Source organism: Homo sapiens, chromosome 22 (assembly GCF_000001405.40).
Source record: "Homo sapiens chromosome 22, GRCh38.p14 Primary Assembly".
Lineage (NCBI taxonomy): Eukaryota > Metazoa > Chordata > Mammalia > Primates > Hominidae > Homo > Homo sapiens.
In genome coordinates, this window is record NC_000022.11 from 27,653,635 (window position 1) to 27,678,703 (window position 25,069).

Below are 25,069 nucleotides of genomic sequence, written 5' to 3' on the forward strand. Positions count from 1 at the left end.
AGAATAAATAAGACCTAGTATTTGCTAGCACAACTGGGCGACTATAGTCAGTAATAATTTAATTTTACATTTTAAAATAACTAAAAGAGTATAATTGGATTGTTTGTAACATAAACGATAGATGCTTGAGGGGATGGATACTCCATTTACCCTGATGTGATTATTAGGTATTGCATGCCTGAGGCTGGGCACCGTGGCTCATGCCTGTAATCCCAGCACTTTGGGAGGCCGAGGCGGGCGGATCACAAGGTCAGGAGATCGAGATCATCCTAGCTACCAAGGTGAAACCCCGTCTCTACCATGAATACAAAAAGAAATTAGCCAGGCATGGTGGTGGGCGCCTGTAGTCCCAGCTACTTGGGAGGCTGAGGCAGGAGAATGGCGTGAACCCCGGGAGGCAGAGCTTGCAGTGAGCCGAGATCGCGCCACTGCTCTCCAGCCTGGGCGACAGAGCAAGACTCCATCTCAAAAAAAAAAAAAAAAAAAGGTATTGCATGCCTGTGTCAAAATAGCTCATGTACTCCATAGGTATATATACCATACCCACGAAAAGTAAAAATTAAAAAATATATTCATATTATTATCATCATCCTCATTAGCATTATCATCACTATACCTTGGCTTTTGTTGCAATTTGCTAAACACAGGAGTAAGAGGGGAGGACTAAAGGGCACCAGCCTTTGGAGCTGGAGTTCCACCACCTTGGGGAAACTGAGGCCCAGAGAGGGAAAGGGGCAGGGCAGAGCCAGGGTGGACACAACTGGTCGTGCAGAAGAGGGTGTGCCAGGCAGTGCCACCAGCTCAGACGTGACAGTCCCTTTGCCATCCGAGGTCTGCAGCAGGAATGATCAGGGGAGCAAGCACTGAGGGGCCACTGCATGCCAGGCAATGTCCACACAGCCCCCTGGGAGTTCTCCAAGCAGCCATAGGTCAATGGTGTGAGAGTACCATGTCCCAGATGGGGAAACAGAGGCATGAGCCTCCCAGTCACCTGCCCAAGATCCCAAAGCCAAGTAAATGACGAGGCTGGGATTTGAGCCAGTTCTGACAATTCCAAGATCCTCTACTCCAGCCAGCCCTGAGGCCCCGTCCCTCTGTCGCCTGCTTCCCCAGGGTCCAAACTCCAGACAGTGGTATTTTCTTCCCTTCCTGTTGCCCAGATGGTGCCGGTCTCTTTGTCTTGAGGGTTTCTTCCCCTTTCCTTTTTCTTTTTTCTCACTTGCATTCTTTCTTTTCCTTTTCTTTTTTTTTTTTTTTTTTTTCCATCTTTGAAGGATGAAGGAGCAACTCCCTGGATGGCATGGGAAAACAAAAGGGACTGCTGTCCCACAGCCCAGTGGCAGCCTCGCCACCCAGAGCTGGAAGGTATGGAAATGAGCTGTTGTGGATGCAAATGAGGCTTCTGGGTGATTTGCACAGAGCCGGCCTGGGCGGGGCCAAGGTGGAGCAAGTAGGGAAGGCTGTCGGGAGTTTTCCCAACCTTCCCCCAGGTACCTGGCTTCTCCAGGCCAGCCTTCCCTTGAGAAGGCCTCCCTAAAAGCTCTGGCCTCTGCAGCATGAAATATCTGGGCAGCTGTTGGGATTTCGTCATTTCTATCTGTGTACATAAAATTAATTTTCTGTTTGTTATCTCATTGTGCAAACAAATGGCTGATTGGAATTCTTTTAAACCAAATTTGAGGGGTTAGTTTGGGATAGTGTGACTTAACAAGTTTGGGATAGTGTAACTTGACTAAGAGAGACCACTTCCATAAGGTGCCGTGAATGGAAAATACACAGAGGAATCCTACTGATCCCTGGGCTGAGTCCCAAGAGCAGACTTTGGTGTGCTTTGGGTAACGCTTTGGCACAGAGTGCAGTGCGACGGTGAGGGTGGCACTGATTCTCCCTAGAGTGCATGGGTGGGATGGAGGATGGTGGATAGGAGGAAGGGTGTAGTAGAAGAACGGGTAGATGAAGGGAGGCAGGGAGGATTAGCCAATGGATGGATAGATGGATGAAAGAATTGAAGCATAGAAGGATGGAAGGGAAGAAGGGAGGGAGAGAGGGAGGGAGGGAAGAAGGGCTGAATGATGATGGATGGATATGGATGGGTGGATGGATAGATGAAAGGATGAAAGGATGGATAGGAGGAAGAAAGGAAGAGAGGAAGGAAGGGGAAGGAAGTGGGGAAAAGAGGGAGGGAGAGAGGGAGAAAGAGTTGAAGGAGTGATGGATGGATGGATGGATGGATGGATGGATGGATGGGAGGAAGGAAGGATGGGTAGGAGGAATGGTATACTAGAGGGACAGATGGATGAGGGGAGGGAGGATTAAAAAATGAATGGATAGATGGATGAAATGATTGAAGGATGAAAGGATGGAATGGAGGAAGGGAGGGAGAGAGGGAGGGAGGAAAGAAGGGATTAAATGATGATGGGTGGATATGGACGGGTGGATGGATAGATGAAAGGATGAAAGGATGGGTAGGAGGAAGGAAGGACGGAAGGGGAAGGGAAGGGGGAAGAGAGGGAGGGAGAAAGGGAGGAAGAGTTGAATAATGGATGGATGGATGGGAGGAAGTAAGGATGGGTAGGAGGAAGGGTATACTAAAGAGACAGGTAGATGAGGGGAGGGAGGGAAAATTAATTAATGGATGGATAGATGGATGAAAGGGTTGAAGGATGGAAGGAAGGAATGGAGGAAGGGAGAGAGAGAGGGAAGAAGGGCTGAATGATGATGGGTGGATGTGGATGGATGGGTAGGAGGAAGAAAGGAAGGAAGGAAGGCAAAAAGGAAGGAAAGAAGGGAGGGAGGAAGAGTTGAATGATGGATGGATGTGAATGGATGGGGGGATGGATGGATGAATGGATGGATGGGTGGATGGAAGGAAGGAAAGGAGAAGGGAAATAGAATGTGTTAACTTACTCAGGCTGTATTATGCACTACAAGTTTATGTGCCCCACAAAATTCATATGTTGAAACCCCACTCCCCAGTGGGAAGGCTTTAGAAGGTGGGGAGTTGGGGAAGTAAGTAAGTCATGAGGATGGAGCCCTCATGATGGGATTAGTGCCCTTATAAGAGGAGACAGGGGAGTACTTGTTTTCTCTCTTTCTGCTCTCTGCCACGCAAGAACTTGGCAAGAAAACAGCCATCTGCAAACCAGAAAGAGGGGCCCCACCAGAACCCAACCATGCTGCTACCTTGATTTCAGACTATAAGAAATACATTTGTATTGTTTAAGCCACCCAGTGTAAGATCATTTTTATAGCACCCCAACTGACTAAGACAAGCTGACATAACAAAATACCTAAGACTGAGTGGTTTAAACAACAGAAAGTTATTTTCTCACAGTTCTTGAGGGTAGAAGTCCAAGATCAAGATTCCAACTGATCTGTTTCTGGTGAGGGCTCTCTTCCTGGCTTGAAGACAACTGCCTTCTCATGGTGTGCTCACATGGCCTTTCCTCTTTGTGTGCCCAGAGACACAGAGAGAGGGAGAGCTCTGGTGTCTCTTCCTATAAGGACACTAATCCTATCAGTTCAGGGCCCCACCCTTATGACCTAATTTAACTTTAATCACTTCCTTAGAGATCCCATCTTCAAATGTAGCTACACAGAGGGTTAGGGCTTCAACATATTAATTTAGGGGGACACACACCTTCAGTCCATAGGTTGATGGGTGAATGGGGAAACCTAACATCCTTCCTTTGTTCTTTCATTCATTCAATAAGACTTTCTTAAGCCAGGCTATAACAAGGAAGGAGACAGGCATGTTCCCGGTGTTCACAAAGCTCACAGAATACCTTGACTTTCCCCCAAGAGAGGGTCTAGCAGAGAAGAGTCTGGCTTCAGGGTCAAACAGTCCCGCCTGGAGATCCAGGCTGTGTGGATGACGATGTGACCTCAAGCAATGACACCTTCTTTTAATCTGTCATCTCCTCATCTGTAAAATAAGGATCATGACAGCCCCTGCCTCCTACAGTCACTGTGAGCATTCGATGAATTAGGACATAAAACTCCCTGTTAAGAGTAAGTAGCTGCTATTGTAATGCATGCTGCCTTTGCCACTGGTTCACTGCATGGTCTTAGGCAAGGCTGTGTCCTCTCTGAGTTGAACCCAATCTCCTCATCTGCAAAATGGACATCATAAGGCCAGCTCCAAGGCACTGCTTGTTGGATGTTCAAATGAGACAAACGAAACACACAGGCTGTGTAAGCTGTAACACGCTTGCCATGCATGAGAGTCTGGGCATTGTGGGTCTCAAGCCCACAGCCACACTAGTATATGAATCTGGGTTCCTTAATAGATTGTGTACTCCCAAAGTGCAGGGTCTCTGGCAAACTTATCTCAGCTGCCTCAGTATCCAACATGCAGGAGATGAGTAGGTGATCTGTGAGTTTCTGTTGAATTAATGAATTAAGGGAAGTGATTACCTTGCCAGACCCAGAATTCAGAGGAAATCATAAATATGGTCCCTGAGCTATCACCTCTTTCTCACTACGTCTGGCTCTTATGTGACCTTGGACACAGTCTCTTTCTGGGATTCCTCCTCTGGAGAGACCCTGGAGGCTCATCATCCACAAATTCTGGGGGTGCTAGGGAGGGATCAGTATAAGAAGAAATTAATAAGAATATCAGTTTTGTTATTATTATATTACCAACTAATACAATTATGGCTGGGATGTAGTAAGGCTCACTTTGGATTCAAACAGTTCATTTATTTGTGACCTTGGAGGTTGCTTTTCTTCTACGAACCCGTTTTCTCATCTGTGACATGGACACAGATGGATGCTAATTCACTGGAGATTGATTCACTGTGACCCAGGTCTGTCAGCCACACAGGCTAATCCCCAATGGTAAGATGTATTTTGGCCAATTCCTATGGGCCCAGAAACAGCCTGGAGGACACTGACCTGTTTGCCTTGCAGAATGACCCCAGCAGGTTGGTTCTGATTCCATTATTCCCAGTTCAAGATGAGAGGCCCAGGTGATGGGGCAAGGTATGACATTCCCAGGATTACACAGGGCCAAGGTGGAACTCAAACTCGGGCCAATCTAACTCTGAGCCTTAGCTGGCTGCCACCGTATTCCCGCCTCTCCACCCAGCATTCCCATGAGTCCCAAACAAGAGATCACAGCACAGGCGTTGGAGACAGAGATTCCAGGAGACCCAGGCTCTGCTGGGTGCCTTTGGGCAAGTGCCTTGATGTCTCTGGGCCTCCCCAGGCTCACCTGTAAAACGAAGCAACATGATGATGCCTTGCAGGTTGGTTGTGAGTGTTAGACCATCCAGTTAACACGCTAAGCATGGGCATGCCCAGCTCATGCCTGGTGAAGAGTAGGCTTTCCTTCCCGCTCCACACCTCTGCCTGCAGGCCCACCTCCATCCACCGACCACCCCATGGGCCACTCAATCAGCTCACAGCCAAAGCCACTGTCAAAACAACAGAACCACATATGCCAGCCGCAGGTACCACTTACCTACCGAGCACTCAGGATGTGTGAAGCCCTTTCTGTGCATTAAGTGTGAATGGCCTAGAGACAACCCTATCCCCACTTTGCAGATCAGGAGGTGGATCCCCAGTGTGGTCGAAAGGACTGGACACATAGCCAGCGAGCTGCAGTCCGAAGATGTGACCCAGGTCTGCCAGCCACATACACCAAGCAGCCTCGGTGACAAATGGCTTCTGGCATTGAGGTGACACTCCCATGTCACATGTACTTGCTCCCTCTAAGCAGAGGAAGTTGGGCACTGGCCCTTCACGATTATTCCACGGAGAGTCCATTTTATGGCTTTGGAAACTGAGGCCCCCAAGATGCTCAGAGATGTTCGACTCCATCACTCCATATTTACTGAGCTCTTTTTCTGGAGATCAGTGAGGTTGAGACACAACAGAGTGTTTATTTTCTTTCTTTCTTTCTTTCTTTTTTTTTGAGATGGAGTTTCGCTCTTGTCGCCCAAGCTGGAGTGCAATGGCTCGATCTCTGCTCATTGCAACCTCCAGCTCCTGGGTTCAAGCAATTCTCCTGCCTCAGCCTCCCAAGTAGCTGGGATTACAAGCGTCCGCCACCACGCCCAGCTAAGTTTTGTATTTTTAGTACAGATGGGGTTTCACCACGTTGGCCAGGCTGGTCTCCAACTCTCGATCTCAGGTGATCTGCCCCCCTGGTCCTCCCAAAGTGCTGGAATTACGGGCATGAGCCATCGCGGCCGGCCGAGTCCTTATTTTCAAGGTCGTACAGGGAAGGGCATCAGGATAGTCCAGGCTGCCTTAGCCTCCAGCCAGGATAAAGGGGAGTTTGGGGATGAACAGAATCCAGCTGCTCCATCCCCCACCCCACCTCCCACCCCAGGTGTGGACAGGAACCATCACATTTCCACATTTCCTTCTTTGTCTCTACCTCTGCCCAACCTCCCCCACATCAGTACCCAGCCAGCCAAGGGACAGGCAGGCCACCTCCTCGATCCGGACATGCCCCATGGAGACGGTTACACTTCCGGGTGTAGTCACTGTCCAGCCATATCTCCTGGGCCCTTCAAATGGGTTTGCTGGTGATTTAAGGTGTATTCGTGTTCTATCAATACATGAAGTTCTCAGGTCCACATTTCAGCGAAAAATAGTCCTGAGCATCTGGAAGGCAAAAAAAAAAAAAAAATATATATATATATATATATATATATATATATATATATATATATATATATCATCGCTAAACCGCAATCTCTTGTCGTATTGGATTCTGTGACTTACAATTCTCTCCTCTTCGCTGCACTTGAATATTAAATGTTGTATTAATAGCTCACTCTTAATTATCTGTGAGTAATGTACTACGACCTGGAAATTAATGAAGGGAAGGGCCCAATCGAGAATATTTCCCACTCCTCTGAGTGCCGCGGGGCTGATGGGAGGGGAGAGATTTGCATATGATTTGCATGAGAAGCTGCGGGCAGAAAGAAGATGTATGAGCTCAAATGTGGGGGCTTACTGTGGACCCAGCCACTTTCCAGCACTTTCCAAAGCGAGAATTCCCTTCCACTTCTCACTCCTAGCTCCCAGCATTTGTCCACACTGATCCTTCTGCCAGGAATGCCCTTCCCGGCTTCCTGTGTGTGGGAGAAGCAAGATCATGACAACTACTACTTACAAAGGAGATATATATATATATATATATTTTTTTTTTTGAGACAGGGCCTGGCTCTGTTGCCCAGGCTGGGGTACACTGGTACAATCTCGGCTCACTGCAACCTCTCCCTCCTGGGCTCCAGCGATCCTCCCACCTCAGCCTCACCAGTAGCTGGAACTATAAGCATATGCCAACACGCCAGCTAATTTTTGAATTTTTTGTAGAGATAGAGTTTCACCATGTTGCCCAGGCTGGTCTCGAACTCCTGAGCTCAAATGATCCACCTGCCTCAGCCTCCCAAAGTGCTGGGATTACAGGCGTGAGCCACTGCACCCAGCCATGAAAGACAAGTTAACACAGACACATATACAATTGTGTTCACATACTTAACGCATACATATAAATACAAGTGCACATGCAGATGCACACATATTATATATTCACTATTTTTAAAAAACCTGTATTAGAAAAGCCTGTCAATTCCTCAAAGAGTTAAACATAGAATTCCTATTTGGCCCAGACATGCCCCTCCTAGGGTCATGCCCGAGAAAATGAAAACGTGAACACACAAATGCTTGCACATGAATGTTCATAGCAGCATTATTCAGAAAGTGAATGGATAAGCGAGATGTGGTATATCTATCATAATTGAATATTATTCAGCCATAAAAAGAAATGAGGCATTGACACATGCCACAAATTGGATGAACCTGGAAGACATTGTGCTAAGAAGCCAGATGCCGCCAGGCATGGAGGTTCCCACCTATAATCCCAGCACTTTGGGAGGCCAAGGCGGGATCACTTGAGCCCAAGAGTTCAAGACCAGCCTGGACAACATGGCAAAACCTCATCTCTACAAATCATACCAAAAAAATGATCTGGGTGTGGTGGCACACACCTGTAGTCCCAGCAACCCAGGAGGCTGAGGTGGGAGAATGATCTGAGCCAGGGAAGTCGAGGCTGCAGTGAGCTATGATCGTCCCACTGCACTCCAGTCTGAGTGACAGAGTAATACCCTGTCTCAAAAAAAAGAAGCCGGACACAAATGGTCTCATATTGTATGATTCCATTTATCTGAAATATCCAGAATAGGAAAATCTGTAGAGACAGAAAGTATTAATGGATTAATGATTGTCAGGGGGTAGGGGGTGATAGCTAACATTATAGGATTTCTTTTGGGGGTGATGACAATGTTTTGGTATTTGACAGTAGTGATGGTTACACAACTCTTGACTATACTAAAAACCATTAAGGCCGGGCATGGTGGCTCACGCCTGTAATCCCAAGACTTTGGGAGGCCAAGGCCGGTAGATCACCTGAGGTCAGGAGTTCGAGACCAGCCTGACCAACATGGTGAAACCCCATCTCTACTAAAAATACAAAAAATTAGCCGGGCGTGGTGGCACGAACCTGTAATCCCAGCTACTCGGGAGACTGAGGCAGGAGAATCACTTGAACCTTGGGGGCAGAGGCTGCAGTGAACCGAGATCACACCACTGCACTCCAGCATGGGTGACAGAGTGAGACTCCGTCTCAAAAAAAAAAAAAAAAAAACCATTGAATTGTACTTCAAATGGGTGAATTGTATGGTATGTAAATTGTATCTCAATAACGCAATTACAAAAAAATATATACACTGTCCACCCAGGACTTGGTATATGCTGTTCCCACTGGCTGGAACACCCTTCCCCCACCTTTCTTCCTCTCACCTAGTGTTGGGCATCCCCAAGGGCTGAGAGGTACAGCCTAGGGTGGAGCAGGAGGGACCTGCAGAGATGTGTCCTACACTGCACCCATGATGGGCTGTGTGACCCTCAGCAGGTGACTTCGTGTCCCTGAGCGTTGGTTGAGTCTGAGCCTGGGGGGGCCGGTGTGATATGCCAGAGCTGATAAGAGGTGCTTAGTTCAGGCTCTGGCCTGACCTGGATGCCCAGTGAGTTGTGGTCATTGGGCCCCTCACATGGCATGACACTGAAGTCACAGGGAAGCTGAGCAAAGCAGAACACAGCCAGCCTTGCTTTGGCAGATGCCTGGAACGGGAGTGGGATGTCACTGGGAGCGTGCAGGGCAGGCAGGCCCCAGCCAGGCCGGGGAAGGGATTTGCTGTTCCCATCTCCCTGCAGTGAGGGCAGGCGCTCCCTGACCCCCATCCACTATCTCCCTGATGCAAGGAGGCCTTGGCCTGTGGCCCAGCCAATGGACCCACCCACTGCGCTCTCCCTGGGAGAGATGCCAGAGGGCTGGAGGGAGGGCAGGGTCCCATCAGAACCATGTGCCAGGGGCTGGACTTGCAGAGCCTCGGCAGAACTCCAGCCTCAGCCCCACGGCAGCCAGTGGCCTTTTAGGACATGAATCCAGTCACGTCTCCCCCTTGCTTAAAACCCTCTGCTCACCTTTTACCATGGCCTTCAGGACCCTGTGTGTCCTGGCCCTGCCCAGCAATCTGACCCCGTCTCCTCTCACTCTTTGCCTTGCTCACACCAAGCCAGCCTCCAGGCCTTCACCCTGGGCATTTCCTCCAGCCTTCCTGCCGCTCCTCATTCCTCAGGCCCCAGCTCAGAGGTCACCTCTCAGAGAAACATCTCCCACCTGCTTTGGAGCCTGCTTTGCTCTTTTTTCTTTTTCTTTTTAGAGATGGGATCTTGCTCTGCTGCACAAGCTGGAGTGCAGTGGCGAGGTGATAGCTCACTGCAGCCTTGACCTCCTGGGCTCAAGCAATCCTCTCTCCTCAACCTCCTGAGTGGCTGAGACTACAGGCTTGTGCCACCACTCCTGGCTATTTTTTATTTATTTATTTTGTTTGTAGAGGTAAGGTCTCACCATGTTGCCCAGGCTGGTCTCAAACTCCTAGCCTCAAATCGATCCTCCCACCTCAGCCTTCCAAAGTGCTGGGATTACCACTACACTCTTCTCTGCCTCAATTCTGTCTTCATGTACAGATAGCACCCAACCACGATTGTCCAATAAGTGCACAAGGCAGGCAGCACAGGTCCCGGCCCCAGGCCTGCCCCTGGTTCACTGAGAGACCCTGAACAGATCGCACCTCCTCTCCACATGACAGACCAGACCTTTGTGAAGTGTGAAGAAGCGGAGGAATCTCCTGTTTGACTCAAATTGTAGGTGGCCCCCAACACCTAAAGCAGCTAGAGCTGCCAAATGTCAACCCTGATTGTTCTGCTGGTGGAAAGGTGAAAGGTGGGGCAGGGGCAGCGTTCTGCTCCATCATATTTTTATCACTCTTCCCGTTTTCCCCAGTGACTAATTCTTTGTTCATCAGAGTGAAAAGATTGTTTGAAAAAAAAAATGCTAAATCTCAACTGAGAATGTAAGGTGAGATCGTTTCTCAGGGTTCCTCCAGGTCTGGAAAATGCAAAGGGGAACTTCAGCAGAAGAGGGCAGGAGGGGCTCTTGTTTTTTTGCAAACCAAGAAGGAAACACGAGTGGGGGAATTTGAGAGAGTGCAGTGGGCTGGTGGGGAGACACCAGCAGTTGTTCCCATACCGTTGCTCATTTATTTATTTATTTTTAATTTAATTTTTTTTTTTTTTGAGATGGAGTCTCATTCTGTCGCCCAGGCTGGAGGGCAGTGACACCATCTTGGCTCACTGCAACCTTCGGCTCCTGGGTTCAAGCAATTATTCTGCCTCAGCCTCCCGAGTAGCTGGGATTACAGGCACGTGCCACCATGCTCAGCTAATTTTTGTATTTTTAGTAGAGACGGGGTTTCACCATGTTGGCCAGGGTGGTCTCGAGCTCCTGACCTCAAGTGATCCACCTGCCTCGGCCTCCCAAAGTGCTGGGATTACAGGCGTGAGCCACCACGCCCAGCAGGCACTATTTCTCATTTCTCCAGATCCCTCCTCATCTTGGCCACTGGCTTCTGATTTCATTCATTCATTCACTCACTTAACTCATGTTCCTTGAGCTCCTACTTTTGGAGCTTTGCAGGGTTCTGGGGATCCAGCCAAGCACACAGCAGACACGTCCTGTCCCTTGTGGAGCTGAGGGTCTGTAGTCAGTGCCCCCAGGGGTCAAGGTCTCTCTGAGTGTGATGTACTACTGGCCCCACATGGACCGTGACAGTCACTCTCCTCGGTTCCCACTCTGCACCACTATTCACGCAGCCTCCTATGATGGTCATCGTCCCATAAAATCAGGCCCATTAGAATCCTCAAATCTATCCAGGAGCTCCTGTCTGCCCAGGGCCCCATCTTGGATGACACCATTACATCTTGAGGGTGGTTACTGATCTTCCGTCTTTCTTTTGTTAAAAATTAACTTCAGGGTTTTTTTTCTAATTTTATCAAGACAGTAAATGCATATTGTAGACAATCTGGCAATGTAGGTATTTGCCTATATTACTAGCTGTGGAACATCAGGCAAGGTGCTTCTCAAACCCTTAATGTCGTCATCTGTGAAATGGGGACAGTCCTAGTACTCACATCACAGATTCATTGTAAGGAGTAAAAGAGACTCCAAATGTATGCATCTGGCACAGAAGAAGCTTAAAATAAATGCACTAAGATGAAGACCAAAAAGAGACTTGTAGCCCAACATCAGGGACAAACCCAGACAACATCTTATAATAGATTACTCTCTTCCAGATATTTTTTTTCTGCACAGATTTAAAGAAAGAAAGAGACAGATGTAAAACAACAATTTTTCAGGTATATGGAGATCACAATGTAATTCTATTTTGTAATCTGGTTTTATTCTCATTTAACAGCCTGAACATTTGACCCACAAAATGATAATATTACCTTGAACCTATAAAGACCTTTCCATCTTTTTGTTACTTCAATGGAAATGCAAAGTTTTAGCAAACTGCCCCTCTGCTGGTTATATGTAAGAAAGTGTATTTCCCTATGTCTATAAGTCCTCTTCTAAGACCTAATTTTATGGCTGAACTGAATTTCAGCCTGTAGCTAGACCTTAATTGATTCAAGCAATGTAAGTAAAAATAAGTGGTAATAAGCAAAAACAAAACAGCAAAATAAGTAACAATGGTTATTACTAGTGTTGTAACAGCATTGGTCAGGTTGTTTGTTTCTACTGATCTGCTATAATCAATGCTGTCATGACATCCTCGTTGATAAAATCTTTGTCCATAAGAAACAAATTCTTTAGGATTTCTAAAGGAATCCATCCCCAAAACAGAGACTATGAATAAGCTTTCCAAATGTTGTTGCCCTTTGTGATATGCCCACAGAGAAGGGACCAAGACATGTTGGGCATTTTTTAAGTGTTAAGTGTTATGCTAGGCATTTGGCCCAGGCATTGAATCTCCAAGCAGTGGCTCACACCTGGAATCTCAGCACTTTGGGAGGCCAAGGCGGGAGGATTGCTTGAGGCCAGGAGTTCGAGATTAGCCTGGACCACATAGGTAGACCCCATCTCTACAAAAAATTAAAGAAAAAGTAGCCAGGCTTGGTGGCACACATCTGTAATACCAGCTACTCAGGAAGCTGAGGTGGGAGGATCACTTGAGCCCGAGAGTTTGGGGCTGCAGTGAGCTATGATTGCACCACTGAGCTCCAGCCTGAGTGACAAAATGAAATCCTGTCTCTTAAAAAAAAAAAAAAAAAGAATCTCCATAATAACCCTTTCATTTTTTGTTGTTGTTGTTGTTGCTTCAATGGATATGCAAAATTTTAGCAAACTGTTCTGCTACTTATGTGTGAGAAAGCCTATTTCCCCACACCATCACCAATACTGGGCATTATGATTTGTATCAGTCAGCTATTGCTGTGTAACAAACCATTACCAAACTCAATGGCTTAAAATAGTAAGCATTTATTATTGCTCATGCATCCACAGGTCAGTCAGCTGGTTCTTCTGATCTCAATCAGCCTACTTGTGCATCACTGGCTGATTTTGCTGATTATTACCGGGCTCTCTCAAATGTCCAGAGCTTGGCTCTACTCCACATGGTCTCTCCTCCTCCCCCAAGCTAGCCCAGGCTTGTTCCATGGCAGCAGCAGAATTTCAGGTTAGCAAATCGAAGCTGCAAGTCCCTTATGGCCGAGGTTCAGAACAGGTACAGAATCACATCATCACATCCACCACATTCTATTGGCCAAAACATGTCACATGACTGAGGCTTGATTCAAGGAGTGGGAAACAGACTCTATCTCTTGATGGGAGGAACTGCAAAGCCACATTGCAAAGGATACAGATACAGAGAAGGGAGGCAAATTAAGAACATTTTTGCAAACAATCACGTAATTTTTTAATTTTTAATTTTTTAATTCTATTTTTAAAGTTTTTACCAATTTTCTAACTTCAGAAAATGTTTTAATGTATATTATTGGATTATACCCTGCTTTCCTTCCCTCTGTTTATTGGCCACTCATCAATTGACTCTTTGCACCCGAACACTAATCTTTATATACACCCTGGCCCACACTCCGCCTGGAATTCCAGTCCATGCTCCTTCTGGAAGCCAGCCGTCACCCCCACGCTTCAGCTCCTCCTTCGCATAATGAATAGCCCAGGAGCCTGCAGGAGAGAGAGCCATGGCCGACCACCACCAGCACTTCCCCCGGGCAAGCCCCATGATGACACCATCCATCACTGCCACCCTCGGTGGCTGTGCGCCCCAGGCCCGGCCAAGGAGGAGAGAAAACACTGCCCACAGCTCAGTGGAGCCCTTAATGATTACGTCAAGTGGCAAGCCATTTATTAGTCTCCTTAGCGGCCAAAAAAAATAAGGCCTGAGAAGCCAGAAAGCACATCAGGGGACTGTGGTTTTATTTTTTATAACCGCTTCAAGCCTCAGACACCAAGGGGAATATGGGTCAGGAAGGGAGGCAAGGCTTGGGGGCTGGGGAAACAGGAGTTCTGAACCAGTCTCTGCAGAGGGACTGTGGGCACAGAGAGTTTGCACGGCCCATCCAAGGTCACACAGCTCCCAGGCCGGCGTCCTCCCTCAGGGTCATGGTGTGCCTTCCACTGCACCTGTGTTAACAGCTCCTGCATTTTACCATCAATTGCTTCGAACCCTTCTCTGGAGATTGGTGAATAACAATTAGACATGAGCAAGCATTGGAAGGGGGTGCAGAATATAGGGGGTTCTGGAATTGGAGTGAGAATACCAGGATATTTCACTTCTCTGAGCTTCAGCTTTCTCCTCTGCAGAATGGGCATGAATCAGGGCCAACTTTACGGCCATGAGATCTCTGCAGTTGCACAGAGCCCGGCGCTCAGAAAGGCTCCAAGCTGGGTTTATGTTTTGCTGTTACCGTCTTGAAATTCTTTGTGTGTGTGTGTGTGTGTGTGTGTGTGTGTGTGTGTGTGTGTGTGGCAGAGTCTTCCTCTGTTGCCCAAGCTAGAGTACAGTGGCGTGATCTCGGCTCACTGCAACTTCTGCCTCGCAGGTTCAAGTGATTCTCCTGCCTCAGCCTCCCAAGTAGCTGGGATTACAGGCATGCGCCACCACACCCAGCTAATTTTTGTATTTTTAGTAGAGACAAGGTTTCGCCATGTTGGCCAGGCTGGTCTTGAACTCCTGACCTCATGTGATCTGCCCACCTCAGCCTCCCAAAGTGCTGGGTTTACAGATGTGAGCCATCATGCCCGGCCACCATCTTGAAATTCTTAATTTCTGCACCTATCTATGTTTTGTAAGTGAAGCCCAGTGGGGCAGTGAAGCATGCAGGTGAGCAGAAGAGACTCACGGAAGAAGGGCAAACATTTCCTATTTTAGTACCTTTACTGTACATTTTTCCTGCCTTTTAAACAAGGAGGACTGCAGTTTTGTTTCACACGGCAGCCTGCAAATTTTGTTGCCACCCTAAGCATGATGATACCTCCTGGGCCAGGCTGGGCACCTCAGAGACTCTCAGAGAGTGGCTGGCCCCACCAGTCAGGGGCTCCATCTCTCCCTTTGTAGGTTCCTCTCCTCCACTGGAACCCGGGACGGTTCTCCTGGATGACACCCCTCCTCTTCCTGCCACATTTAGACAGGTTCCAAGCCCCTCCTTTCCACCTCCTTCTCGTCCCTGCCTCCATTTCTGCTCTAGTTTCATCGCCCCAGTATTGCTCACCTAGAATTCCTGCCTCCTGCCAGAACCTCCCAGCCTTTACCCTGCCCTGCCCCCACCCACTCTCTTTACAAGGCTAAGCCCTGGTTCCCCAAGCTTCCACATGGGGCCACAACACCCCACTCTGGGCTCTAGACATTCCCTACCAACCACTGGCTGGTGGTTCCCATGTTCCACATGTCCTTCATTCCCCATGCCTTCCTAACAGCTCCTGTTTATTGAGCACCTACTGTGTGCCAGGACCCATGCTAAGCATCTTGCATGAATGAACTCATTTCATCCTCATAAGACCCCTATGACATAAACACTGTGAATATCTTCAACTTACAGGTGAGGAAACAGAGGCACAGAGTAGTTGATTCACTTGCTCTAAGTCACACAGCAAGTGCCAGAGAGGGCTTGGATCCCAGCAGACTGGTACCCACACCCTTAACCATCACAGAACTTCTCCTCTGTACCTTTGTCCAAGTCAGTGCTTTCTCTAGGTATGTTCTTCCCTGATGGACTTAGTCCACTCTTCAGAGTCCAGAAATATTTGCCAAGTCAGTGAGTGACCAGATGATTTTGTCCCTCGCTTGCTGTGCAGCTTTGAGTGGGTCACTTCCCCTCTCTGGGCTTCCATTTCCTCTTGCATCCAAAGAGAGTGAGCTGAGACCCACTCAGTAGGCAAAGTGAGGCCTCAGACCCACTGGGATTGGCTGCAGCTGCTGTGAGACAGTGAGACAGAGGGAGCCGCCCCATGGGGCCCAGGTTATATCTGGGCCATGACTAAGCGTGCCCAGCCCTAGACCATCTGTCTGTCCACATCCGTCACTGTGAGGAGGGGCCAGGGGGCCACGTCCCTTAGCTCCAGACCCACATGACACCTCCTCTCAAAAGGGCAGAGCCCGGCCTGGAGCTGGGTGGCACATGATGCCTACTCCTCCTGCACTCAACCGCCTCACCCCTGCACTGCAGGACTCACACCCTTCCTTCCTGGGCAGAAACAGCCCAGAGGAGCCTGGGCTGATCCCAGCGCACCCTCGGCCATGACCTTGGGAAAATCCTCTGTGCAGCCAGCAAGCAGATAGCCATTGTCCCACTAATCCGAATAACCGATGCCAGGCTCTGTGCAGATCATCTCCTTGAACTTGCCCATCCCCTCCTCCAGGCAGTCTGCCCAGATAGCTGCTGCCTCAGGCTGATTTAGGGACCTTCTATGGGCTCCTCCACGGCCTGTGCACGTGAGGGGAGTCCTCATATTAGATCCGTTTTACAGAGGGGCAAACTGAGACATGGAGAGGATCAGGACTAGCCCAAGATCACACAGCCCCAGGTGGTAGCCGCCTGGCCCCAGAGGCTGTGGGTTTAAATCATTGAGCATTCCTGCCTACCTGTGCCAGGCACCGAGGGGCATGGGGACAGTAGTGACCAAGGGCAAACTCAACGCCCACCCTGGTGAGGCTTCCATGAGCAAGTGCATACATTCAAGGGACCACCTGTCATTCTTGCTTGCCACATCAAAGGGCGCAGCCTGGGATCCCAGCCTCGTTCTGCCCCACCCCCTCAATGCTTGGCAAACACCCGACTGCATCACTCCTTCCAAGGTCAAGCTGTGTGGACCTTGGGCAAGTCACTTGACCTCTCTGGGCTGTCTTTTTCTTAGTCATCAATATGCCTTGCAAGTCAAATCAACCATATGACTTACTTGGCTGGAACCTCCAAACTATCCATAGAGGTTGACAGATGATCCCCATCATCCAAATGAGGAAACTGAGGCTCAGAGAGGAGGGAGCTGCTTGCCCAAAGTCAGGAAGTGCCTTAAGGGGATGGCAGAGGATGTGGGTGTCCACGGGGGCATAGGTGCTTCCTGCCCAGAGCCAGGGGGTTGGGATCAGCCAGGAGGTGATGGTAACCCCTCCCCTTCCCCAGCCTGCTTCTTTCTGCCCCTTCCCCACCTTCCCCCTTCCCCCTTCCCCCTCCTGAGGTCTCCAAACAAAGCTGCCTTTATCTGGACTGTAGCTGCATTCCTCAGTGACACATGAGGACAAAGGCGGGGGCCACCGGCAGCGACAGGAAAGCCCTACCGCCCCAAGCCAGTTTACAGCCTTCCCACGCCCCGCCCCCACCCGCAGGGCCTCCCCGGGGCCTCCAGGCCTGGCCCGGGGGAGCTCTGGGAGGAAGTTTTCCCCAGGACCCTGCCTCTCTTGCCCCACCGGAGCCTGGCTGTTTGTCCTGGGGAGGAGGCTGAGCTTCTGCAGCCTGGATCCAACCCCAGCTCCGCCCTGGGCCCCATACACACTGCGGGGCCTAGGTGAGTCTCTGAATCTCCAGGCCTCTGCTTCCTGGTCTGTAAAACAGGAGTGGATTTCCGGAGGGGCTTAGTGAGATCATGCAGGAGGCAGCTGGGCACATCGAGAAGGCCACCATGATTGTTGATGGTGGTAGTCTTATTGGTTTTCCATTTCCAGCCATTTTTGAGCCCCTTTCAGTTCCTGAGAGTGCTGCTGTCACCCCAGAGGATTGCACATGCTGTTCCCTCTGCCGGGAACACTTACCATCCCTTGCTTCCTCCCCTGGCTAACTCCTGCAGGTGTCTTCCTAAACATCCCCTCCTCCAGGCAGCCTGCCCAGATAGCTGCTGCCTCGAGCTGATTTAGGACCTTCTATGGGCTCCTCCATGGCCTGTGCATCTCCATCACACAATATCTTGAGTGAACACTGCCTGGGGATCACAGACAGTGACCAGGAGAGATGGGGAGGAGAAACAAAGGAAGTGGGGCTGGGCACCTACTGTGTGCCAGACCTGTGCTAAGCATTTCTCTCTCATCCAGGGTGTTGGGAACCCTCCCAACAACCCTCCAAAGCCAGCTTTATCATTCCATTTAAAACATAAGGAAGCTGAGGCATACGCCTGAGACTCAAGCCTAGGTCTGTTAAATTTCAGAGCCTGGACTGAACACTGCCTGCTGATAGCGGTCACCCCACCAGGCTCAAAGCCCCTTAAGGGCAAAACCAGGGTGGTTTTGTTCTCTGCTGTATACTCATTGCCTGGCACTGGGCCTGGCCTCGCTCACCCATTGCTGATGGGATGGGTTGGTGGGTGAAGTAGCAAGTGGGTGTACAGGGCCCTTTTTTTTTTCTCTTGCTAGACCAGGGAGGGAAGGAGGAAGGAAGGGAGGAAGGAAGGGAGGGAGGAAGGAAGGGAGGGAAGAAGAAAGAAAGGGAGGGAGCAGGGAGGGAGGAAGGAAGGAAGGAGGGAGGGAAGGAAGGGAGGAAGGAAGAAAGACAGGAGGAAGGGAGAGAGGAAGGGAGGGAGGGAGAGAAAGAGGGAAGGAAGGGAGGGAGGGAAGGAAGGGGAGGGGAGGGGGGAGGGGAGGGGGAGGGGAGTGGGGGTGGGTTAGGCGAGAGAAGAAGGGGCCGGGCATGGTGGCTCATGCCTGTAATCCCAGCACTTTGGGAGGCCGAGGTGGGCGGATCACGAGGTCAGGAGATCCAGACCATCCTGGCTAACAGTCTCTACTAAAAATACAAAAAATTAGCTGGGCGTGGTGGCGGGCACCTGTAGTCCCAGCTACTCGGGAGGCTGAGGCAGGAGGATGGCGTGAACTCGGGAGGCAGAGCTTGCAGTGAGCCGAGATCGCACCACTGCACCCCAGCCTGGGCAACAGAGCGAGACTCCGACTCAAAAAAAAAAAGAAATAGGGGTCTCTGAAGCCAGAGCTGGCCCCCTAATCCCACGTCATCTAGGAGTGGAGGCTGGGGCTGCAAGAACAGGATAAGGCCTTAGAGGTTCAAAAAAATAAGAAATGCAGTAGCCTCTCCCCTCCCCCACCCCACCCTGGCCCAGCTCTCCCAGAAGAATGAGCACCATTCTGACAGCCAGGGCCTCCAAACCAGATCTGCACAGTTTGGTGTCCAGATATCGCTAATGACCCACTCATCTCATTTCCATGTTTGTCCCTGGAGCACCTACTGTGAACCAGGCAGGATAGAAAGCACACAGAAAGGGGAAACTGAGTCCAGTTCTCCCAAGAGGTCACAACCTGGATCCACAGCACGAGAAAGTGTTCTTGAGATGATCTGGCCAGACCAGAGAAGGCCAGATATTTGCCCAACATTGCACAGCAAGGTCCAGAAAAGTGAGAATTGGGACCCAGGGTTCTAGTGCTCCTGGCCCAGTGCTCCCCTCTCTATAGAACATGTCCAGGGGGTAGTAGAAGGCCAGGTGACAGTGACCAGGAGAGATGAGGAGAAGGAGAAAGAAAGGAAGTGGGGCTGAGCACCTACTGTGTGCCAGACCTGTGCTAAGCATTTCTCTCTCATCCAGGGTGTTGGGAACCCTCTCAACCACCCTCCAAAGCCAGCTTTATCATTCCATTTAAAACATAAGGACGCTGAGGCATGCGCCTGAGACTCAAGCCTAGGTCCGTTAAATTCCAGAGCCGGGTCTTCTGACAAGCAGAGGTTGTCCTATGGATTTGTTCATATAGGCCCAGACCCAAGACTGCTAGGCTCTAGTTCATGGGAGGTGCAAAATTAATGTCAAAGGAAACAGTTTCTGGCCGGACACAGTGGCTTGCGCCTATAATCTCCGTGCTTTCAGAGGCCAAGGTGGGAGAATCGCTTGAGCCCAGGAGTTTGAGACCAGTCTGGGCCACATGGCGAAACCTCATCTCTACAAAAAAATTTTTTTTAATTAGACAGGCATGGTGGCACACGCCTATAGTCTCAGCTATTCGGGAGGCTGAGGCAGGAGGATCGCTTGAGCCCAGCAGCTGGAGGCTCATGAGCTAGGATCGCACCACTGCACACTCCAGTCTCGCTCTGTCACTCCAGCTAGGTGAGAGAGCGAGACCCCCACTCCCAAAAAAATAAATAAATAAAGGAAGAGAAGGGAGGAAGGAAAGATTCCTTCCCTGAAGCTGTTCTCAATGTCAAGGTGGGTGAAAATATCTTCAAACACCCAAACAATTCTAGTGTCACCTAGATGCAGGAAGCCTGAGAGTCCTCCTAGGATTCAGTGTCCATTCTTGAGTGTGAGAGGCTGCACCTGGGCCACCACACCCAGCCTAGGCACCCAGGTCCCTCTGTCCCTTCAGCACCCAGGGACGGTCCCCAGCCTGGCTCCAGCTTAGAGGGGTGGCTCCAGGGAGGCTGGTGTCCTTTCAGCTGGACATAAACGCTGTGTCTAAAAACAAACGACTTCTAGGGCAGAGGGCAGGGAAGTGGTTCCAGCAGGGTGTTTGGGCAGCACGCCGGCCATTCAATCAGACCCACGGGGCTGTGAGGGGAGCGGCAGAGAATCAATCATGGGCCGTGTGTGTTTGCAAAAGGACGTGTGTGGCAGTGACAGCAGCGGGAGCCCCGGGGGAGGCCCCCCGGGGACACGTGTCCACCACCTGGGCTCCCGTGCCCGCTGAGCTCTGGGAGGCAGTGGCTGCTAAAATACAGATTCCTAGGCCCCAGACCATCATCCTGAAGCCAAATTGCCAGAGTCAGGCCCAGGACTCTAGAGTTTCTTTGAGGGTCTCCCAGACACTTCTGGTGAGCAGCCAGGCTTGGAAACTCCTGTGCAGCCCACCCAGCCCCAGGTAAGGTCCTGAGGGTATAATTCGAGGAGTGGGGAGTGGGGGGCCAAGTCAGGATCCATCGTGGGAGGAGCTGCAGCTTTGCAGTCAGACCTGGCTCTGTCTGTGTTTCCATAACATTCTGTACCGCCCAGCTGCAAACTCCAGCCACCAGGTTCTAGTCTCATTCTCTCTCCACCCCTTCCTCCCTCTCCCCACTCCTTCTTTCTCTCTCTATTGCTTTCTCTCTTTCTCCATCTCTCTCTCTCCCTTTTCCCTTCTCTTTTCCTCTTCCTCCCTTTCCCTCTATCTCTTTATCTCTCCCCCTTTCTCTCTCACTCCCTTTCCCTCTTCCTCACTCTCCCCTTCTGTTTCTTTCTGTCTCCCCCCGCCATTTCTCTCTCTCTCCTTTCCCTTTCTCCCTTTCTCTCTTTCTCTTTCCCTTTCTCTCTCTTCCCCCTTTCTCTCTTCCTCTCTCTTTCTCTGTCTCCCTTTCTCCTTCCCTCTTTCTCTTTCTCTCCCCACCCTTCTCTCTTCCTCTCTCTCTTTCTCTGACTCCTTTTCTTTCTCTCTCTTCCTTTCTCCTCTCCCATTCTGTCTCCCTCTGTCTCTCTTTGCCCCAAACACAGCATCTGGCACCTAGTAGGCACTCAATAAATATTTGCCAAGTGGACGGCCCTCTGCTTTCTCTCCTGCCCCTGGGTGTCTGCCTGTCCCTCGTGTCCCCTCCCTTTCCTTCTTGCTCTCTCTGTGTTTCTAGTGCCTCTGGATTCATCTGCAGTGGCTGGAACCCCGTTCTCCAGTTGTTCACCCCAGCATTCTGAGGCCAGGACTGGGCTGCTTTACATTTCAGAAAGGCATGTTGGGGCTGGGAGAAAGCAGACTTGCCATCTGGAAAAGCTGTCCCAGGCCTGTGCTTTCGGGACCTGAAGCCACAGCGCACTGCGTGCACCTTAGCCTTGCATCGTGCAGCGTGGCTGCGATCTTCATTCCCAGCAACCCTCCTTCCTGGGCCTGGTGATCACCGTCCTCTTCTGTAGCACCAGGGACCTTAGCAGAGCCCCTGTGTCCCGCGTCTGTCCAGTGCCTGCAAAAAGAGAACCATGGGACAAAACCCCCATTGCACAGATGGGGAGGGCAGCCAGAGAAGGGACCATTGACCTGGGTCACCCCGAGAGTTGATGGCAGCCCTTACCACCTGCATCGTGTGGTGTTTTGATCTCCCGGAGGGCAGCTTACAATCCCAGACTCTCCAAGTGACAGAGAGGGCCCATTCTGTCCAAGTCCACATGCCCCCCAATTTACAGATGAGGACCCTGAGGTCTGGAAAGATGAGGTGACTTTTTGGATGGCTCAAAGAGGAGCAATGGAGTGACTGGGGAAGAACAATTGGTTAATCAAGAGGTAAGACCTTTCCACGCTGGTCTCACATCATACATGAATTTAATTTAACTGAGTTAAGATCCACTTAACTAAACACATTTGCCCCTCACACCCCAAAGGGGACATTATATGATGGGGAAATCCCCACACCACTCACTTTGAAGGTGTCTCTTCCAAGCCAAACCCTCCCGTTGGGTCCCACGTGTCTCTGAGTAGGAGCACCTGGTTCCTCCCTCTGCCTGTGAGTGTCCCACTCCACTGTGTGGCCCCTAAACACAAGACTTTACTGTATCTGGAGCTTGACAGGAGAAACAGCGATCCGTCCCAACGCAGGAGGAAAAACTGGCTGTGCTGAAATTATTGAGAAATAGTGGTTGGCTCCAACATGACGGCTTCCCAAGGAATTTTCAAGGCCATTTTGACTCTTAAGCGATTTTGCCCTTAAGGACCTGTCCTCTGCAAAAGATGCAATCCCACTGGCTCTCCAGCAACTAGAAAAGAAACAAGAGACCTGATATTTTTAAATCTTTTTACCAAAGTATAAACTACATGCACAAAAATGCACATATGTTAAGTATACAGCCCAACAAATGGTCACCAAGTGAACACACCCCAGTAGCTAACCCCCTCCTATTTAGTCCCCCCTCAAAGGTAACCACTACCCTAACTTATCTCTCCATAGATTACTCTCACCTATTCTTGTACTTTTTCTATAAAAGGCATCTTGTAGGATGCACTCTGCCTGCTGAGCTTCCTTCACCCGGCTTAGTATTGGTGAGGTTCATCCATGTTGTCTTGTGTAGCAGTAGTTTATTTATTCTCCTTAATGTTTTTCATTCCACGTGTGCCTGTACCACAATTCATTTATCCATTTTACTGTTGATGATTTATCAATTAGTTATTGCTGGGAAACAAAGCCTCCCATAGCTCAGTGGCTTAAAACAGCAACCATTTATTTAGCACGTGCTTCCAGAAGTAGATGTGGACTGGGATCAGCTTGGTGGTTCTTCTGCCCTGGGATGGGCTTGGCTGATCTTGGCTGGGTTTGCTAAGTGTCTGCCTTCCACAGCTAGGGCTGGCTGGTCTCAGATGAAGCCAGCTCTGAAAATTCATCTCTGCTTCACCCATCACTCATCCTCCAGCAGGCTAGCCTGGACTTTTCACACAGCAACTGCAAGTTCCAAGAGAGCAAAAGGCCTCTTAAAACCTAGGCTTGGTACTGGCACATGTTGCTTCCACCACATTCTATTGGCCACAGCAAATCACGTGACCAACGTAGATTCAAGGGAGAAGAAGTAGACTCTGCCTCCTAATGGGATGGGCTGCACAGAACTGTGACTATTTTTGCAATCTGCCAAGATAAGCATTTCCAGTTTTCAGCCAAGAGAAATAATTCTGCTGAGAACATTCTAGTATATGTCTTCCAATGGCCATAAGGACATATTTCTAATGGGGATATTCCTAGGAGTAGAGTTGCTGGGTTAGAGGAAATGCCTTCATTCTTATATGGGCCCCATAGAGGCCTATTTGTTGGAAAGAACAGAAGCTGCCGTGAGCTTTGCTATCTTAAGGAAGTACCCACAAAGGGGCATGCACAGATTTTGAAGCCCCTCTCACCTCCAGACAAGCCCCTTCTTCAGACAAAAACTTCCCTTTTCCCTTCTGTGCCAGATGGAATATTATCCTCCCAAAATTTGTCACCCTGGATCCTCAGAATGTGGCTCTATTTGGAAATAGGGTCTTTGCAGCTGTAATCAAGATGAGGTCAGACTGGTTACAGCAGGTCCTTATGTAGTGATTTGTGACTTTCTAGGAGAAAAAGGAGAGAGATTTGGATACAGTGACACAGACTCTCAAGGAGAAGGCCCTATGACCACAGAGACAGAGACTGGAGTGACGCATCTAGAAGCCAAGGACCACCAAGGATCGCAGAAACCATGAGAAGCTGAAATAGACAGGCAAGGATTCTCCCCTAGAAACTTCAGAGAGAGCATAGCCCTGTGGACATCTTGATTTTGGACTTCGAGCCTCCAGAACCATGAGCGAATAAATTTCTGTTGTCTTACACCCTTCCATGTGTGGTATTTTATTATAGCAACCCTAAGAAACCAATACACCCTCCTACCATCCTGTTGTTCTATCCTCTGGTCCAGAGCAGGAGCAAAGGGCAAGTTTCCCTGTGCCCCTTGTAATTGACCTTTTCATGCCGTTTCGTCCCCAGGGTCACACGCATAAGCACGTTACTGAGAAGATTTATCCCAAAGCACGTACGGGGCTCCGGCCCGTGCAAACACTTGCCTGCTGGTTTACAGTGATTTACTCACAGATTACCCTCTGACGAAGGGGGCCCCAGCCTACGCGCCTCTCTCGTATATCAAAAAGGAAATCCTGAAGACATCCCTATAAACGCAGCGGGGAGGAGAACCTGCCGACGCCGTAAACTTACACGATGTGGTGAAGTCAGATGGGCCATCTGCTTCGCTCCCCAATCCAGATGCGCACAGAGGCTCGCCTGCACAACTCCTCGCACGCTCCAGACACACGCCTTCTCCCGCCTCTTCTCTGCTGCATGGGCAGCAGGGTGGCCCATGAGAGGAGCACATTGGACCAAGGGGCATCAGCTCCCCGTCCTCTGAAGGCATGCAGTGGATCAAAATTATAAAGCAGAGCCATGTTCAAACTTTGGCTATTTCTGGGCTAGTTCAATGCCTTCTCTGAGTTTCAGCCACCTCGTCTGCTGTGGGGGACTCCAGTGAGAAATCATCCCACCTGACCCAATCAATGACTCCCCACTTTCACTCCCTTCTGCTAGGTGGTATTATCAGGATTCCTGGCTGCAGGTGACAGAAACACAACTCACAGTGGCTTAAGAAACAAAAAAGAATAATAAATCTGTTTTCTTGAATACCTGAAAACTCTCGAAGCTACAGTTTCAGGTGTGGCTGCATCCAGAGTCTCCACAATACCAACAGGAAGCTGAGTGTCTC

The 25,069-nt window shown here is 49.8% G+C and overlaps 2 long non-coding RNA genes across 2 annotated transcripts in view, besides 5 other annotated features; one reads left to right on the forward strand and one right to left on the reverse strand.

Moving 5' to 3' along the window:
* Nucleotides 848-1,344: an enhancer, noted in NCBI's record as "H3K4me1 hESC enhancer chr22:28050431-28050930 (GRCh37/hg19 assembly coordinates)". NCBI's record gives its function as "activates a minimal SCP1, AML or CMV promoter by ChIP-STARR-seq in naive H9 embryonic stem cells {active_cell/tissue: H9 hESC(naive)}" and the evidence as "EXISTENCE:reporter gene assay evidence [ECO:0000049][PMID:30033119]".
* Nucleotides 13,822-14,321: an enhancer, noted in NCBI's record as "H3K4me1 hESC enhancer chr22:28063419-28063918 (GRCh37/hg19 assembly coordinates)". NCBI's record gives its function as "activates a minimal SCP1, AML or CMV promoter by ChIP-STARR-seq in primed H9 embryonic stem cells {active_cell/tissue: H9 hESC(primed)}" and the evidence as "EXISTENCE:reporter gene assay evidence [ECO:0000049][PMID:30033119]".
* Nucleotides 15,698-15,992: an enhancer, noted in NCBI's record as "tiled region #6919; K562 Activating DNase unmatched - State 5:Enh". NCBI's record gives its function as "activates a minimal TATA promoter and a strong SV40 promoter by Sharpr-MPRA in K562 cells {active_cell/tissue: K562}" and the evidence as "EXISTENCE:reporter gene assay evidence [ECO:0000049][PMID:27701403]".
* Nucleotides 15,698-16,092: a biological region, named in NCBI's record as "Sharpr-MPRA regulatory regions 2672 and 6919".
* Nucleotides 15,798-16,092: an enhancer, noted in NCBI's record as "tiled region #2672; K562 Activating DNase unmatched - State 5:Enh, and HepG2 Activating DNase matched - State 5:Enh". NCBI's record gives its function as "activates a minimal TATA promoter and a strong SV40 promoter by Sharpr-MPRA in K562 cells, with weaker activation in HepG2 cells {active_cell/tissue: HepG2 | K562}" and the evidence as "EXISTENCE:reporter gene assay evidence [ECO:0000049][PMID:27701403]".
* LOC124905098 (uncharacterized) lies at nt 20,537-24,152 on the forward strand. The gene is made up of 2 exons (XR_007068040.1): nt 20,537-20,723; nt 23,896-24,152. It is a non-coding gene; the product is annotated as an uncharacterized LOC124905098 (long non-coding RNA).
* Nucleotides 22,126-25,069, reverse strand: part of CPMER (cytoplasmic mesoderm regulator) — a 39,211-nt gene continuing 36,267 nt past the window's right edge. The window contains exon 5 of the long non-coding RNA NR_186699.1: nt 22,126-23,253. This is a non-coding gene — a long non-coding RNA (cytoplasmic mesoderm regulator). The remainder of the gene's footprint in view (nt 23,254-25,069) is intronic.